General features: G+C 51.0%; 2 annotated features.

The window, feature by feature from the left end:
- Positions 14,923-15,423: an enhancer, noted in NCBI's record as "H3K4me1 hESC enhancer chr14:103692850-103693350 (GRCh37/hg19 assembly coordinates)". NCBI's record gives its function as "activates a minimal SCP1, AML or CMV promoter by ChIP-STARR-seq in naive H9 embryonic stem cells {active_cell/tissue: H9 hESC(naive)}" and the evidence as "EXISTENCE:reporter gene assay evidence [ECO:0000049][PMID:30033119]".
- Positions 15,424-15,924: an enhancer, noted in NCBI's record as "H3K4me1 hESC enhancer chr14:103693351-103693851 (GRCh37/hg19 assembly coordinates)". NCBI's record gives its function as "activates a minimal SCP1, AML or CMV promoter by ChIP-STARR-seq in naive H9 embryonic stem cells {active_cell/tissue: H9 hESC(naive)}" and the evidence as "EXISTENCE:reporter gene assay evidence [ECO:0000049][PMID:30033119]".

The following is a 17,270-nucleotide window of genomic DNA, read 5'->3' on the forward strand; positions in this document are numbered from 1 at the left end:
GGGTAGTATTGACATCTTAACAATATTAAGCATTTCAATCCATGAACATGAGATGTCTTTCATTTATTTGTGTCTTCCTTAGTTTCTTTCAGCAATGTTTCATAATTTCCAGTGTACAAGTCTTTTGCCTCTTGGTTAAGTTTATTCTTAGGTATTTTATTATATTCAATGCTATTGTAAATAGAATTGTTTTCTTAATTTCCTTTTCAGGTTGTTCATTGTTAGTGTATAGAAATGCAACTGATCAGCTGGGCACGGTGGCTCACGCCTGTAATCCCAGCACTTTGGGAGGCCGAGGTGGGTGGATCACCTGAGGTCAGGAGTTTGAGACCAGGCTGGCCAACATGGTGAAACCCCATCTCTACTAAAAATACAAAAATTAGCCAGGTGTGGTGGTGGACGCCTGTAATCCCAGCTACTCCAGAGGCTGAGGCAGGAGAATTGCTTGAACCCAGGAGACAGAGGTTGCAGTGAGCTGAGATTGCCCCACTGCACTCCAGCCTGGGTGACAGAGCGAGACTCCATCTCAAAAAAAAAAAAAATCTGATTTTTGTGTGTTGATTTTTGTATTCTGCAACTTTTCTGGATTTATTAGTTCTAACAGGATTTTTTGGTAGCGTCTTTAGGGTTTTGTACATATAAGATCATGTCATCTGTGAACAGAGATAATTTTACTCCTTCCTTTCTGATGTGGACACTTTTTATTTCTTTTTCTTGACTAATTGCTGTGGTTATTATTTTCAATATATGTTGAACACAAGTGGCAAGAATGACTGAGGATCTTTGTCCTGATCCTAAGCTTAGAAGAAAAACTTTGTCTTTCACCATTGAGTATGATTGTTAACTATGGACTTTTCGTATATGGACTCCATTATGTTGAGGTAGTTGCATTCTAGTCCTATCTTGTTAAATGTTTTTATCATGAAAGGGTATGATTTTTTTTCAAATGCATTTTTCTGCATCAATTGAGATGATCATGTTTCTTTTCCCTTCATTCAGGTAATGTGGGGCATTATATTGGTTGATTTTCTTATGTCGAACCATTCTTGCATTTCAGGAATAATCCCACTTGGTCATGATGTATGATCCTTTGAATGGGCCGTTGAATTGTTTGCTAGTATTTGATTTTTAGATTTTTCTTCTTTCATTCCATGTTTTCTTTGCCCTCAGCCAGGCCCTGGTTGGTTGGGGTTCTTCATCTAGTAGTATGACCCAAATGTTCATTCATGAAAGATCTGAACTTTCAGTAGGGTTCTGCCATTTTTTTGTTGGCGTTGTTTGTGATAACCTTTTACTGTTGGAATGGGAGTACCAGGAGGTGCCTCAAACAACGTACTGAGTCACTAAGTATAATAGTGAAACAAACCAATTCCCCTCTATCACCCCTTAACTCCCAAACTCCTATATTCTGGCTGTGGGAAAAACACCACCATATATTAATCACTGAATAAAGATTATATCAAAACCGTAAGATGGGGGCCTATCCATTCAGGGTGGTATCTCCCAACTGGTGCTAAGATAAGTCTTTGGTAGCCCATCCAACCATTCTATCAGGCCAGCTGCTCTTGGGTGATTGAACAAAAAGCAGGATCATTGAATTCCATGGCCATGAGCCTAATGCTTCACCTCTTTTGCAATGAAATCAATTCCTTGATCAAAGAAATGTTTTATGGGATATGATGAAGGTCCACAGGGCATTCTATAATTCTGTGGATGGTGGTGCTGGCAAAAGCATTACACGTAGAGACAGCAAATCTATATCCAGAATAAATTCCAGTGAGGACAAATTGCTTTTCCTTCCGTGATGGAAGGGATCTAATGTAATCAAGTTTCCACCAAGTGGCTAATTATTCTCCCAGGAAATGATGCCATATATCAGGGTCTCTGTTATTGGTTAAATATTCAACAGTGAAGATAACCAGGTCGGACTTGTGAGGCAAAGTCCATGCTGAGGCCATGCACAGCCTCTTCCCTGCCTCCTTGGTCACTCTGTACACAGGCCCATTGAGCAACCATTCTGATGGCTGGGGAAAGAGGCTGACTGCAATGCACAGAAAAGACTGTCTTGCCCACCTGATTATTGACAGCCCCCTCTAGAAGATGCTTTTGGATGAGCATTCACATGTGACAAGGTACCCTCAAAGTCTGCCTATCCAGAGAGGTCCGTCCTTTCCCAGACCACCTCAATACCAATCTCCCAACCTGATTTCTTCCAAGTCTCTGATGATCTAGCCAAACCATTAGCCTCTATACTAGTCCATAAGCCAGTATAGAGCCATACTTCTGGCCATCTTCCAGTCCAGGCAAAGTATAACAAACAAATGCGGCACATGAAGTAATGACATGACAACTGAGAGGACTCTCCTTTACCACTGTTCTTTTTTTTTTTTTTTTTTTTTTTGAGACAGAGTCTCGCTCTGTTGCCCAGGCTGGAGTACAGTGGTGCAGTCTCAGCTCACTGCAACCTCTGCCTCCCGGGTTCAAGTGATTCTCCTGCCTCAGCCTCCCGAGTAGTTGGGACTATAGGCACATGCCACTATGCCTAGCTAATTTTTGTATTTTTAGTAGAGACGGGGTTTCACCTTGTTGGCCAGGCTGGTTTCGAACTCCTGACCTCAGGTGATCTGCCTGCCTCGGCCTCACAAAGTGCTGGGATTACAGGCATGCGCCACTGCACCTGGCCACCACTCTTCTTTAGGGCCACCCTGAGTGGGACTGGAGTGCTGTAGCCACCTACTTCTGGACCATCTCTAAGCCAGGATGAGATTTTCCCCCCTCAATCAACTGGTCATAAAGACCTCCCTGTGTGGACATCAGTTTGGGTTGTAGGAGAGGAGACAGTGCAGAGTGGGGAGGGGGAGACGCTGTCTATCAGTGCATTTTGACAACTGCATTCGCTACATGGTCTACCGTCAAAGCCGCTGAAGACAAGAGTTTGGTCACATGTTTTCCTGTGGCAGTGCAGGGCTCACCAGCCTCCCAGCCTGCAGAGATAGCTTCTTGCTGCCGCTGACATCTGGGAGCTGGCCTGGCATCTACATTTAGGCCACGGTGTTCTCCTGCTGAACATAAATAATTTCACAGAACGTCAACATCAGACATGGCCACTCTGTGACTATGACGGATGAAGATAAAATAAGAGCATTCTGCAGTCATGTCGAAACATAGATGGAAATACCAACACTGTCCAAACCACGTCAAATCATCGAACCTTGGCCAACAGGAGTGATGACTGCTTCTTTACCAATGACAACTTCAGCTTCTCTCTAGTCTGCCTTCCTTCCAGATAAGATTTATTATGATAGGCCGGGTGCAGTGGCTCACACTTGTAATCCCAGCACTTTGGGAGGCCGAGACGGGCAGATCGTCTGAGGTCAGGAGTTTGAGACCAGCCTGGCCAATGTGGTGATACCCCGCCATTTCTACTAAAAATACAAAAATTAGCCAGATGTGGTGGTGCATGCCTGTAATCCCAGCTACTCAGGAGGCTGAGGCAGGAGAATCTCTTGAACCCAGGGGGCAGAGGTTGCAGTGAGCTGAGATCACACCATTGCACTCCAGCCTGGGCGACAAGAGTGAAACTCCGTCTCAAAAAAATAAAAATAAAAAAAGATATATTATGATAGTCAATCATGTAACCTCCTGCTTCCTAAGCATCTAATCCAGTGCAATCCCTGTTTCCTCGAGCTTCCTTCACTTCATGCAAGCCCAAAGCGAAGCCCTTTATTTTTTTAATTTTTGTGGGTACATAGTAGGTGTATGTATTTATGGGGCATATGGGATCTTTTGATACGGGCATACACTGTATAATAATATCAGGTAAGTAGGGTGCCCGTCACCTCAGCATTTATCCTTTGTTTGTGGGCCCCCCAAGGTGCCTGCGGTTCCCTCATGTTGTTGCAAATGACAGGATCTCATTCTTTTCTGTGCCTGAATCGTGCTCCATTGTGTACATGCACCACATTTTCTTGATCCATTCATCTGCTGATGGACGCTTAGGTTGCCTCCAAATCTTGGCTATTGTGAACAGTGCTGCAGTAAACGTGGGCGTGCAGACATCTCTTTGATACACTGACTCCTTGCTTTTGGGTATATACCCAGCCGTGGGACTGCTGTATCATATGGTAGCTCCATTTTTAGTTTTTTGGGGAACCTCCGAACTGTTCTCCATAGTGGCTGTACTAATTTACGTTCCCACCCACGGTGTACGAGGATTCCCTTTTCTCCCCATCCTCGCCAGCATTCGTTATTGCCTGTCTTTTGAATAGAAGCCATTTTAACTGGGGTGAGATGATATCTCACTGTCATTTTGACCAAATCTAAGCCCTTTCTAACACCTTTTTACTGAGACACCCTGTGGCTCCCTGTGGTGGGTGCTCTCCCTCCCTGTGATGAGCGGTGAATTGATCTTGTTCAACCTGGAGGTCTGTAGCTGCAGGTGCTGGCCCGGCCCCAGCCTGCTGCCTGGTGCTGAGGCCGCTTCTTTCTGGAAGCCAATGCTGTGGCAGTCGGGGTGCAGGAGGCAGAACCCCTGCAGGGAATTTAAGCAGGGCCGATTTACCAGATGTAACCGGGACTTACAAAGCTACCGGAAGGGTTGGAGGAGTCGGTTCTGGGCCTAGCCTCTGAGCATAACTTCCAGAATCAATTCGTTAAGCCGGTCCCAACTCCAGAGGGGACTGTAGGCAATGTGGGGGGACTGCATGCAAAGGATACAGACATATATATACACACATATGTACACTCACACATCTATGGGGTAAAGTGGCAGCCATGACAGTCCCTTCACCTGACTTGTCTAGAAATGCTCAGCTTCTGAGGCAGTGACCCTAGAGGGACAGAGTGCATCTGGGAGAAATGTGGAAGGGTCAGCTGAGTCCAGTGGGCTCACATGGAGAAAGATCAGGATCTGTGACTTCAGGGAAACGGGACGGGGTTCGGGGGCTAGGGGAGGTGGGCCTGGGTCCCGTGAGCACAGGTGGGTCCAGGGGTGGGTGTGGGAGGAGGCGGGCTGTGGAGGAATAGCTCACGCAGGGAGTTGGTGCATTTTCCCCAGTCGAGGTCTGACATACTGAGAGGCCGAGACCCAGGCCAGCAAGGGAGCCCGGGACACTGCCGGTCCCATGGGAATCCCCAGCCTTTTCCCTGACAGCCCAATGCCCTGTCAGAGAACAGCAGGGCAGGGGACAGCTTTGGGACAAAGATTCACTATTGAGGCGTGGATGTGTCTCCACCCCCCACCCCCTCCCCTCTCCGACAGCAGCAGGCCTGGAGCCTCCAGGGCCACTTGGGAAGGCAGGACTACAGGGAGAGGTGAGAAAATCAGCTTTTTTCCCCTCACACACCCCTTCTGGCACTGAAGAAGGTCGTCACTGGAGGTGTAAGGTGACACCACCATGCAGGAGAGGGGAGGCCTTCACCCAGGTTGCAGTGCAAAGGTGCAATCACAGCTCGCTGAAGCCTCAAGCTCCTGGGCTCAGGCGGTCCTCCCACCTCAGCCTCCTGAGTAGATGGGACTACAGGTGCTCACTACCGTGCCTGGGTAATTTTTTTTTTTTTTTTTAGTTTTTGTAAAGGTGGGAGTCTTGCTGTCTTAGCCAAGCTGGTCTCGAACTCCTGGCCTCAAGTGATTCTCCAGCCTCAGCCTCCCAAAATGCTGGGATTATAGGTGTGAGCCACTGCGACTGGCCTGCGCTGCACTTTTGAAAGCTCCAAAGGCTTACAGGTGTAAACGTTGAGGTTTGTGGTAGACAGTCTGCAGAAATGACCACCAGCTATTCCCCCTGCACACAAAAGCTGCAGCTCCCATAAGGAGGTGAGTCTATTTCCCGTCCCTTAGAATCGGACCTGGCTGTTGACTTCCTTTGAATAATAGAATGCGATATTGTGTCAGCTCCAAGCCAAACCTTTAAAAGGACTGACAGTCTCCTCTTTTGTCCTCTTGCAACTCATCCACCACATAAATAAGCTCAAAGCTAGACTCCTGGATGACAAGAGAGGATGCAAAGAGAAAGAGAGAGTTTCCTAGCCCCAAGCTAATCCAGCCATCCCTGATGAGGCAGCAGCTGTGTGAGTGAACGCATGGATATTCCATCCCCAGCTGGGCTCCTAGCTGAATGTAGGGCATGTGTGGCCTAAGCCAAAACCATGTAAACCAGAAGAACCATCCAGCTAAGCCCAGCCAACACTCAGATTCATAAGAAATAATAAATCTTTTAAATTTAAGACTGCTAAGCCTTGGGTTCATTATATAGCAACAAATAATCAATACAGAGTCCACAGCTCACCAAGATTAGGAATCCAGGTAAAACATCTGCTGCTGTGGGCTGGGATCTCAAAAGTTGCATCCTGGAAGTGAAGGTAAACTAAGTAAATCAGCCTTCAGAGAGACTGAAACCCACTTTTAGGGAGATTTTTCAGGAAAATCTCAAGCCCTGAAATTAGATTAAGGTGCTCTTTTATTGTTAGTGCTTCCAGGCATCTGGATGAAACCATTGAAATTCTTCTGGAGGAAGAGAATAACCCAAGTTTCAAGTTATTTCTACAGAGGATTTATCTAGTATATAATAAAAGATAAACAGGTCCATACTGAATAAGATTTAAAAAAAAAAAAAATCCAAGCAACAACAAAACCAAACAGATAACAACAGACCCATAGAGACCCAAGATACTGGTTTAATAAGACACAACAGCTTTAAAACTGCTATGCTTAATTGATAAATGAACTGTAGATTAAACACAGGTGAAGAGAAATATCAATGAACTGAGAGATATAAGATACATTATTCAGAACAGACCAAAAAAGTAATAAATAGAGAAGAGGGAGAAGAGACAAAGGTAGGGGAGTCTCACATAGGTGGAATTTGAGGCCCCCAGAAGGACAGAAACTGGACCAGAGCAAAACATTTGAAAAGCAAATGGCTGCAAATTTTTAAAAATGAATGTGGCCGGGCACACTGGCTCACGCTTATAATCCCAGCACTTTGGGAGGCTGAGGTGGGTGGATCACTTGAGGTCGGGAGTTCAAGACCAGCCTTGCCAACCTGGTGAATCCCCACCTCTACTAAAAATACAAAAATTAGCCAGGTATGGTGGCGCGTGCCTGTAATCCCAGCTACTCGGGAGGCTGAAGCAGGAGAATCACTTGAACCCGGGAGCTGGAGGCTACAGTGAGCCGAGATGGCACCACTGCACTCCAGCCTAGGTGACAGGGCCAGACTCTAATAAATAAATAAATAAAAAATAAGGGCCAAATAAAGACACTTGCAGCACAAAGGAGTTTGTCACTAACATTTACACTAAAGCAAATTGTAAAGGAGGTGTTTTAAGCAAAAGGAATCAGGAACTGACATGGATTTCTGTCTGTCTTGCTGGGGCTGCAGCTGCTCCTGAATTTCCCTTCTTCATTACCTGCCCCCGTGGACATTCCACTCCAGCATCAGAGACGGAGACTCTTGCTTGAGTTCCACTTAGTAGACACGACCCGGACAAAGCAGTTGCAGTGTCTCAGGGAGCCCACTGGACGCAGCTGACCCTTCCACATTTCTCCCAGATGCAGTCTCTGTCCCTCTAGGGTCACTGCCTCAGGAGCTGAGCATTTCTAGACAAGTCAGGTGAAGAGACAGTCATGGCTGCCACTTTACACCATAGATGCGTGAGTGTACATATGTGTGTATATATATGTCCGTATCCTCAACGAGGGCCAAAGTATCCAGTTTTTTTCTTTTTTTTTTTTTTTGAGACAGGGACCTTGCTTTCTCACCCAGGCTAGAGTGCAGTGGCACAATTATGGCTCACAAGAGCCCCAACCTCCTGGGCTTAAGCGATCCTCCTGTCTCAGCCTCCCTAGTAACTGGGACTACAGGTGTGCACCAGCAGGAGCTGATTGTGTGTGTGTGTGTGTGTGTGTGTGTGTGTGTGTGTGTGTGTGTGTGTGTAGAGGTAGGGTCTCACTATGTTCTCCAGGCTGGTCTCAAACTCCTGGGTTCAAACAATCCTCCCTCCTTGGCTTCCCCAAGTGCTGGGATTACAGGCCTGAGCCACTTCACCCAACTACAGTATCCAGTGTCTAAGTTTGTTCTTAAATGAGCTATGTGCTGGAGGGAAAAAGAGGAGCTTTGTCTACTCTAAACCAGATCGTAGAGGTCTTTTGTTTGTCGCCCTTGGGGTTTTTCACCAAGATGCCCTGGGCCTTTGGGATGAGCCGGATGGGCCTTTCCCGGACAGGCGGAGGAAGAAAGTTCAAGGTGAGCAGTGGGAGAAACTGCAGGCCCCCTGCTCCCAGGGGAAGGGGAGGTGGCCTTCAGGGGAGAGTCCATATGGGCGCCCAGAAACTGGAAACTGCGTCCCTGAAGGCTGCAAGCCCTCTGGACAGACAGGGTCACCCCCGAGTGAAGAGGGGCTTTGAAGACACATGGAAAAGGTGGTGAGTGGGGACTGAGTTGAAACCCAGGCCCTAAGTGGAAGAGCCTGCAGTTCCTAGGGTGCCTTCCTTCTTCCAGTCAATTCATCAATCAATCCACACCAAGTCAGTGCCTACCCCAGGGCAGACACTTGCGAGGCCCGAGGTCAGGAGGCCACAGGAGCCCCTTCCCCAACCTGAAGCCCTGGAGATGGCCTGGCTGGAGGGGACGACGGCCCGCAGCGGGGACCCGACTCACTTCTTCGTCCCCACCTGCCCTGGGGTCCGAAGGGAGCCGCGTGGGAAGCGGGGACGGGGAGCGTGTGGAGGGACCCCCGCGCTCCCGGGCCGACCCTCTGCGGCCTCTGCTCTGCGCAGTCCGTCCTCTTCTCCCGACCTGGCGTGCGTCTCCTGTTCCCCGGCCCCCCATCCCATGGGACCGTCCTTCCTAACGGCACTTCACCCCGCCCGGCCCACGAGGTGGTCCCGGGCCGGTGACAAGATCTGGACGTGGCGACTCCGGGAAGGGGCGACCGGGCGCGGAGAGCCCCTGGGACCCAGGCCTCAGGGACGCATCGGGGTCGGAGCTGGGCCCGGGGGCGGGGCTGGGGTGGGGAGGCTGAGGTTCCTTCGCCCCTTCCCTCCCCTCGCCCCCCGCAGCCTCGCGGCGCGTTTCCTGCCCCGCCCGCCAGGAGGGAGTGGCCCCCGCCAAGTCCCGCGCGTCTCTGCCAAGACCCCGTGCGGGTCCGTGCCGGTCGCGCTATCCAGGCGCCCGCCCAGGCTTGGGGAGCTCTGCGCGCGGGAGCCGGCGACTCCTCGGGGCACCAGGGCGTGGCGAGGGCGTCGGCCTCGGCGGGGAGGCCTTGGCTGGGCCGTCGGGGTGGCGCCGTGCCCTGGAGGTCGTGGCTGGAAGCGAGGCCGCGGGGGTCCAGGAGCGCTCATCGGGGCGCCAGATGCAGCCTGCGGGACGTCCAGTGCCCGCGCAGGGGCCGGGCGAGGCCGTGGCCTCCAGGCAACGCGCAGCCGCGTTGGCGCGAGTTTTAAATCGGTGCCTTCCCAGCTTTGCAAGTTCTTATCAATCGTTACATGCAAGAGGTAGTTTTTAAAAAATGGTTCCCCAGCTTTATTGCGGTGTAATTGATGGATATAAATTGTATTTATTAAGGGTGTACAGCTGGACGATGGGATGGAGCACACAGGGTGGAGGGGTTACCACAGTCCTGTTTCCGTCGTGGTTTTACTTAAATTCAGCGTTACCTATGTGGTGTCCCTGGACACTCCCAGCAGCGAGAGTCCTGGTGGATGGCATCTCTTTCCCTTCTAACCATGGCCGGGGCCCTGGGTGACGTCCCTTCTAACCATGGCCGGGGCCCTGGGTGACGTCCCTTCTAACTAGGTCCGGGGCCCTGGGTGATGTCCCTTCTAACTAGGTCCGGGGCCCTGGGTGATGTCCCTTCTGACCACGGACGGGGGCCTGGGTGATGTCTCTTCTAACCATGGCCAGGGGCCTGGGCGATGTCCCTTTGGGCTTCGTTTGCATTTCCCTGCTGACTGAAGACGGCTTTTGTGCAGGTCCTATTTTTTTCTGTCTTTCCGTGTGGAAATTGTGAAGACCACCCAAATGAGGACCACGGGCCTCTTAATTCAGGGCCTGTGGAGCAGCGGCCTGGGCCCCTCCCTTGGGTGTGGCAGAGGCCAGCAGGCGGGCAGGTGGGAGGGCTTTAGAAGGGAAACCGGGAGGCTCAGGCAGGCTCCGATAGAGGTGGGGGGCTGGGTGAGGGGCCTCCCAGGTGCTGTGCTTGGGGAACTTGGTCTGCTTTCCTGGTTTGTGTAATTTGGTCCCACCGAGGCAGGCCACAGACTGGGGGGGTGTCATCCTTGCCCAAGCCCTGACCACCCCGCAGTAGCAGCTGGAAGGGTGTGCTGGGAGACTCCGGTCTCCAGCTCTGGCTGTTGTCCCTTTCTAGACTCAGCCTCTCCTTTGTGTCTCTAGAGGCGGGAATTTTTGCTATTTTTCCATGTGTTTCATTGAGCCACAGTCACCTGTTTTGACATTGTCCCTGAATGTGACCAGCAGAGCCTTGGAGTGAATTCTGGCTCCCTCTAACCTGCCCTCCTGAGTCTCCGGGCACCGCCCCGGCTTCTGGGCAACGCAGCAGCCCCAGCTCCTTTGTGACTTTCCCCCAAGACCGTGCAGCGGGAAGGGTCTTCGGAAACCAGCCACTGCAGGCGGCTGTGCTTGGCATACCCGAGGGCTTGAGGCTTCTAGGCCATGCAGTGGACAGAGTTGGAAAGTACAGACTTGTTTTGGTATGTCAGTGTTAGGTTTTCATTAGGAATGGCATTATAAACTTTTTTTTTAATATGTAGAGGCAGGCCAGGTGCAGTGGCTCAGGCCTGTAACTTCAGCACATTGGGAGCCTGAGGCAGGAGGATAGATTGAGCCCAGGAGTCTGAGACCAGCCTGAGCAACATAGAGAGACCCCGTCTCTGCAAAAAATAAACTTAGCCCAGTGTGGTGATGCATGCCTGTAGTCCCAGCTACTTGGGAGGCTGAGGTGGGGCAGGAGGGATGTGGGGGAATCCCTTGAGCCTAGGAGGTTGAGTGTCAAGGCCACAGTGAGTTGTGACCACTGCACTTCAGCCTGGGCCACAGGAGGAGTCCCTGTGTCCAAAAGAAAAAGAAAAGAAAAGAAAAGAAAAGAAATGGGGTTCTTGCTATGTTACCCAGGCTGGGCTGGAGGAATCCTCCCACCTCGGACTCCCAAAGTGCTGGGACTATAGGTGTGATCCTCGCCTGACCGAAATCTAACATTTTTACTTCTTTCATAGTTCTATTACCTTATTTGCTGACAACTTCGAGTCGTAGTATTTTTGTCTATCTTATATCCCTGAGTTTCAGATTTGTGTCAAAATTATTAAATCAACTCTGAAATGACCTTTATAATTTGCAGTTCTTTGTGCCTTGGAATATATCTAAGAATGGTTAGAACAGCAAATGTTATAGACAGGTAAATAGAACAACAGAAGAGGGTAGATAGAAGATGCCACCACTGGTCCCGTTATTTCCCACAGTATTAGAGCTCCTTGCAAAAACTGTGGTGTAGGGATTGAAGCGGGAGGGAAAAAAAATCCCATTTTTTTGGAAGATAATCTTACAGACCGAAAAAACAAAACCCACCGGACAAACCTTTAGAGAGAACAGTTCATCTTTTTCCTTTACTAGGCTGAGCAGCAGCTTGCCCCTGCCAATCTAGAAACTTCCATCCTTCAAGAATGGGAAATCTCAGGCTGGGCCCGGTGGCTCATGCCTGTAATCCAAACACTTTGGGAGGCCGAGGTGGGTGGATTGCCTGAGCTCAGGAGTTTAAGACCAGTCGGGGCAACATGGTGAAACCCCGTCTCTACTAAAAATACAAAAAAAAAAAAATTAGCCTAGCTTGGTGGTGCATGCCTGTAATCCCAGCTACTTGGAAGCCTGAGGCATGAGAATCGCTTGAACCCGGGAGGTGGAGGGAGACTTCAGTGAGCTGAGATCACGCCACTGCATTCCAGCCTGGGTGGCAGAGCGAGACTCTGCCTCAAAAAAAAAAAATTAGCTGGGCGTGGTGGCACATGCCTGTAATCCCAGCTACTCGGGAGGCTAAGGCAGGAGAATTGCTTGAACTCGGGAGGCGGAAGTTGCAGGAAGGAAGTGCAATGAGACGAGATTATGCCATTGCACTCCAGCCTGGGCAACAAGAGCGAAACTCTATCTCAAAAAAAAAAAAAAGAAGAAGAAAAGAAAAGAAATCTCTCCAGATGCATTTGTTCCTAGTAGTCTGCATCCATTTCCTTCAGGAGACAAGGTGGTTGATTGAAACACAGAGGACTCCGTGCCCTCAGAGCTGAACCCGGGAATGGCACCACGCTCGGAGCGGTGATCTGGGCACCTGTGCTCCAGCCCGTAGCAGTGATGAGCAACAGAGGAGGGACCAGTTGCCCACCCAGGATCCACCTCCACCTGCAGTGCTTGCACCCAAACCACAGGGGCCCCCGCTGTCTGGGATGCCCCCACCCTCCAGGCTGCGGCTCCAGACTGCAGAGGAGAGCCCGGCCAGGCTCCCGGGAGAACCTCGGGCCGCATCTCCACACAGGACACAAAGTCTTTGTCCCTCCATCCTCAGAGCAAGGGGGACAGCTGGTTTACTCTCCACGAGCTTAGTTAGGAGTTAAGCAGATTTCATGAAGGCACCGTGATAATATTACCAATGCTCATGGCTTGGGGTAATTGTGTCAAGGCCAATTTAACAGTATTTGCCGCAGAATCATCCTTAACTTTCAGGCTGTGAATTGGCTGTTGATCTACATAACAATCTGAGAACTTGGTGAGGTGTTTTGGGATTCTGATGGGCCTGTCGGAACACAGAACCATTTTTGAAATATTTTATTTTATCCAGTTTCTACAAGTAGAACTTTTAAACCATGGATTTAAGATTAAGAAGAGGCTGACTGCAAGCTCATAACAAATAGAACATCGAGGCTGGGCAGGGTGGCTCACATCCATAATCCCAGCACTTTGGGAGGCAGAGGCGGGAAGATTCCTCGAGTCCAGGAGTTCGAGAGCAGCCTGGGCAACATGGCGAAACCCCAGCTCTACCAAAAAAAAAAAAAGGAAAAATTAGCCAGGCGTGGTGGAGCTGCAGTGGGAGGATCACTTGAGCCCAGGAGGCAGAAGATACAGGGAGCCAAGATGGCACCACTGCACTCCAGCCCTGGGGACAGAGTAAGACCCTGTCTCCAAAACAAAAAACAAAAGAACCAAAACAAACAAAACACCCACAGAGGATCCTCCCGCCCCCCAAGCCCAAATAGAACATTGAAGTCAGCGTGAGGTCTCTGCGTTTGGTCTGCTTAGTGGCTTAGTCTGATGAGGCTGTTCTTAGTTCTGTCGTTCAGAACTATGTCTGGGCTAAGAATCCAGGAAGGCGTGGCTTGGTCCACTGCGTCCCTTCGTGGTGATGGGGGCAGAAGACCTGGGCAGCCTGTGTCCCGAGCCCACTCCCCACATCTCAGTGGCTGAGGACAGAGTCCTTGGAGGGTCCTTGCGTATTTCCTGTTGAAAGATTCCACTTCCGATCTGTAGCTTGAAGTGCAGGTCCTCAAGGTAAGCTCGAGGGAAAAGCAGAAACCACCTGTTGATGATGGGCACCCGAGTCATGAGTTACAGTCAGAGCCCCCAACGTTGGCAGGGACGAGGACGGGCCTGGAGACACAGCGTCAGCCTCAGCGCTTCCTCAGCGACGCCCCTGGGAGGGGACGCTGGAAGAACTGGCAGGTCACTAGATTCTCCCACAGAGCTGGTTTCATCATCACCAGGTGATAGGCACGTTAAACCCAGAACTGTTAACTGTTAACTAACTATAACTGTTAAATAATACCAGGCTTGTCTCTGAACAGCAGCGAGAGTGCACTTCCTCTGAGGGGCACACGAGAGTGAGACCCGCACATCCTGTGTTGCTTGACCGTCGGGACTGACCAGGGACAGAGGACACTTAACTGGCCAAATTCCCTCCTTGCCATCAGCCACGGGGCAGTTCCCCAAAGCGCTAAAGCCTGGAGAACGCAAAGCACATCCAGTTACTTAAAAGCAGCCTTTGTTTCCTACAATGAGAGAATAAATCCTTGATGTAGTCCAGTGGCCACCCGGGAGTTCCCAGAAAGACACTGGCCTCGAAGAACTGTTTCTGTCTGTTTGCCTTGAATATGGGACAGACAAGATCAGAGCAGCGATGACGAGAGAATCGCGCACAACACTTAGAGTCTGGGGCCGAGGAATGGCTCTGTTTACTCTTAACTATAAATAAATACACACACAAGTACGCACTTGGCTTTTTCAAAGTAAGACTTAAAAGGACTCAAGAATGTAACAAAGGACAAATATCTTCCCTGTTTTCTAAGAAACCAGCTTCAAGATCTGTCATAGTAACGGATATAAAAGATAAAACTCGCTTTTTATTTTCTCCCAGTGGGCTTGGTAGCTCATACCTGTAATCTGAGCACTTTGGGAGGCCAAGGCAGTGGATCATTTGAGGCCAGGAGTTCAAGACCATCCTGGCCAACATGGCAAAACCCCATCTGTACTAAAAATACAAAAATTAGCTGGGCGTGGTGGCAGGCGCCTGTAGCCTCAGCTACTTGGGAGGCTGAGGCAGGAAAATCATTAGAACCAGGGAGACAGAAGTTGCAGTGAGCCGAGATCCTGTCACTGCACTCCAGCCTGGGTGACAGGGTGAGACTCTGTCCCAAAACAAAACAAAACAACACTAGCTTTGTGTTTTCTGTCGAAGAAAATATTTTGCTCTGAGGGATTCATGAGCCTGAGACATCTCAAACCCATCCACACTGAGCAGCCTGTGTGATGTTAATTAACACTGTTTTTTTTGCTCTTGTCAAACTTCTTTGCAGGAACTGAAGACCCCGGCAGACACATGTCACTTCCCCTCAGAATTGCTGCCCGGCTGAGCTCCCGGAACCCTGGACCTGTCCTCTCTTCCTCTTCACTCAGGCCCAGCCTTGAGGACGAGCTTCTTCTCTTTTGGTTATTCCCAGAGCACGCTTGTTATCACACAAACACCATTTTCAGTTGCTCCATCTCTTCAAAAATAAGACTCTCCTGACAACACAGTACACTGAACAACCCTGAATGTCCTGTGCGGCCACGGCCACTCAGCCCTACCTGGGGAGGCAGGGCCCTGCCAGGGGGTGACCCAGAGTTTCCTGCTCTTGGGTCGTCCAGGAGGCGTCTGAAGAATGTTCTTAGGCTGCTAGTTACACATCAGTCCAAAGCCTCAGGGATGATGAGGATTTTGAAGCTATTCAGGCACCTGAGGCTGGGCTAAGACTCCCACTGTCACCTGTACCTACTTCCCTGTCACCAGGAGGGCCTGGCTCTGTCCCACGCACACCTGGTCTGCACACTCACCTGCAGGCCTGAGCTCCACCCGGGGCTGCTCCACTCCAGCCCGAAAGCCTCCCTAATGAGGGAGGTTGTTCAGTCTCACCTGGGGCTTGGGGGTGACCAGGTGGAAGGTTATTGGGGGCATCTGCGCACCTGGTGAGATGGGTACGTGTTCTCCCTGAGAGCACAGCTCATGAGCAGCCAGGCGATTCAGGAGCAGACCTGTGTCAGATGGGATTTCAGGCCACTCCGGAGAGAAAGTCACCCCTGCCCTCGCCATCATATACACACACTCCCCTCGCCCTGGGCAGCCTCTCAGCTGCTGGTCCAGAGCCCCCAGGGCTGCAGCAGTGACACCTCCTGCAGGGCCAGCCTGAGTTGAGGCAGGATCTGGGGCCTCCCCCAGAGCTCGACCCAGCCCACCCCTGCAGGAGAGGCCCCCGTGGGGCTGGAGCCATGTGAAGGGCCTGCTCCCTGGAGACCTCAGAGTGTCCAGAGGAAACAAAACTACACATAGGACTCCCAGAGGATCCGGCAGTCCCAGCACCGAGCATTATCAAAGGAAACGAGTCAGCACACAGGGACGCCTGCATGCGTGTTCACTGCAGCGCTGCTCGGTTGCTGAAATCCGCCTAAATAGGCGTCAACTGGAGAATGGATAAGGAGCGTGGTGCACACGATGCAGGACCATTCAGCCATCAAGAGAAGGGAATCCTCTCATGCAGCCACATGGATGGAGCTGGAGGTCATGACGTGAAGTGAAATCAGCCAGGCACAGAAAGACAAAGCGCATGTCCTCATACTCACAGGGAGCTAACGTGGCTCTCAGGGAGGTAGAGAGTGGGGTGATGGTTGATACTGACACGAGGCTGGGAGGGCATGTGGGTGGGAGGGGAGCGGATGGAGAGGATGCTTAATGGTACACACACAGGTACAGGGAAAGGCCTCACATTAACTGCTGTCACCGACTCTGCCATGGAACAACTATATTTACTGTATTCTCCAAAATAGCCAAAAGAGAAGATTTGCAGTGTTCCCACCACGTAGGGATGATGAGTGCTCCAGGTGAGGGATGTCCTGAACATTCCCACTTGATCACTACACATTTGATGCGCGTAACAGAATGTCATGGGTGCCCCATAGGTCTATATACCTATCAATGATAAAAAGGAAAAAGTGCCCTGGGACCCAGGCAGCCAATGACTCAGTGCTGGGCCTTGATCACAGCCACCACCTGGAGGGCATTGGCCACAGGGGCCTGATGGGCTTGGCTGATGCAAAGGTTGTGCTCTGGTCCCCAAACCTCCCCCTGAGCAGAGCAGGCCGGCCAGGGTCACCCCACCTCTCACATGAGAAGGAGTTGTTGATATGGAGGCAGCCCCAGGCAGAGGGCAGACACCGCTGGGAGGGCCGGACCCCTGCCCTGAAGTGCAGCCTTTGCAGGGATGAGCGGGACCCTCACAGACAGGCGAACCAGAGCTGCAGGAACAGAGGCCTGGACATCAAGGAGCCAGAACTGGACAACAGGGACTCAGCAGGGGCCCAGGAGACAGAATGGGCAAACAGAAGGAACAAAGGAGGGGAGGAGTCTGCACTAAGGGTGCTGGGGAGAGTTTGGGACAGAGGGAGCCACAAGATCGAAGACTTCCTGGAGGAGGTGGCACCCATCACAGGGAGGCCAGAGGAGCAGAAGGGGCAAAGGACAGACAGGAGGCTGGGAATGGATCCCAAGGGAGTGAGCCACAGGCAGGCCCCAGCACCAGTGAGGTCTGATTGCAGGAGCCACTGCAGGAGTCAGGAGAGAGACGAGGCCCGGCTGAGGCAGGAGGATGCAGGGGAGGGGGTGGGAGGGAGGGAAGAGCCTGGAGGAGGCAGCGTCCACTGGGGACAGTGACCAGGAGGCAGGCCCAGGGAAGGTCCCTCTCATTC

The sequence above is a fragment of the Homo sapiens genome, chromosome 14 (assembly GCF_000001405.40).
Source record: "Homo sapiens chromosome 14, GRCh38.p14 Primary Assembly".
Taxonomy (NCBI): Eukaryota; Metazoa; Chordata; class Mammalia; order Primates; family Hominidae; genus Homo; species Homo sapiens.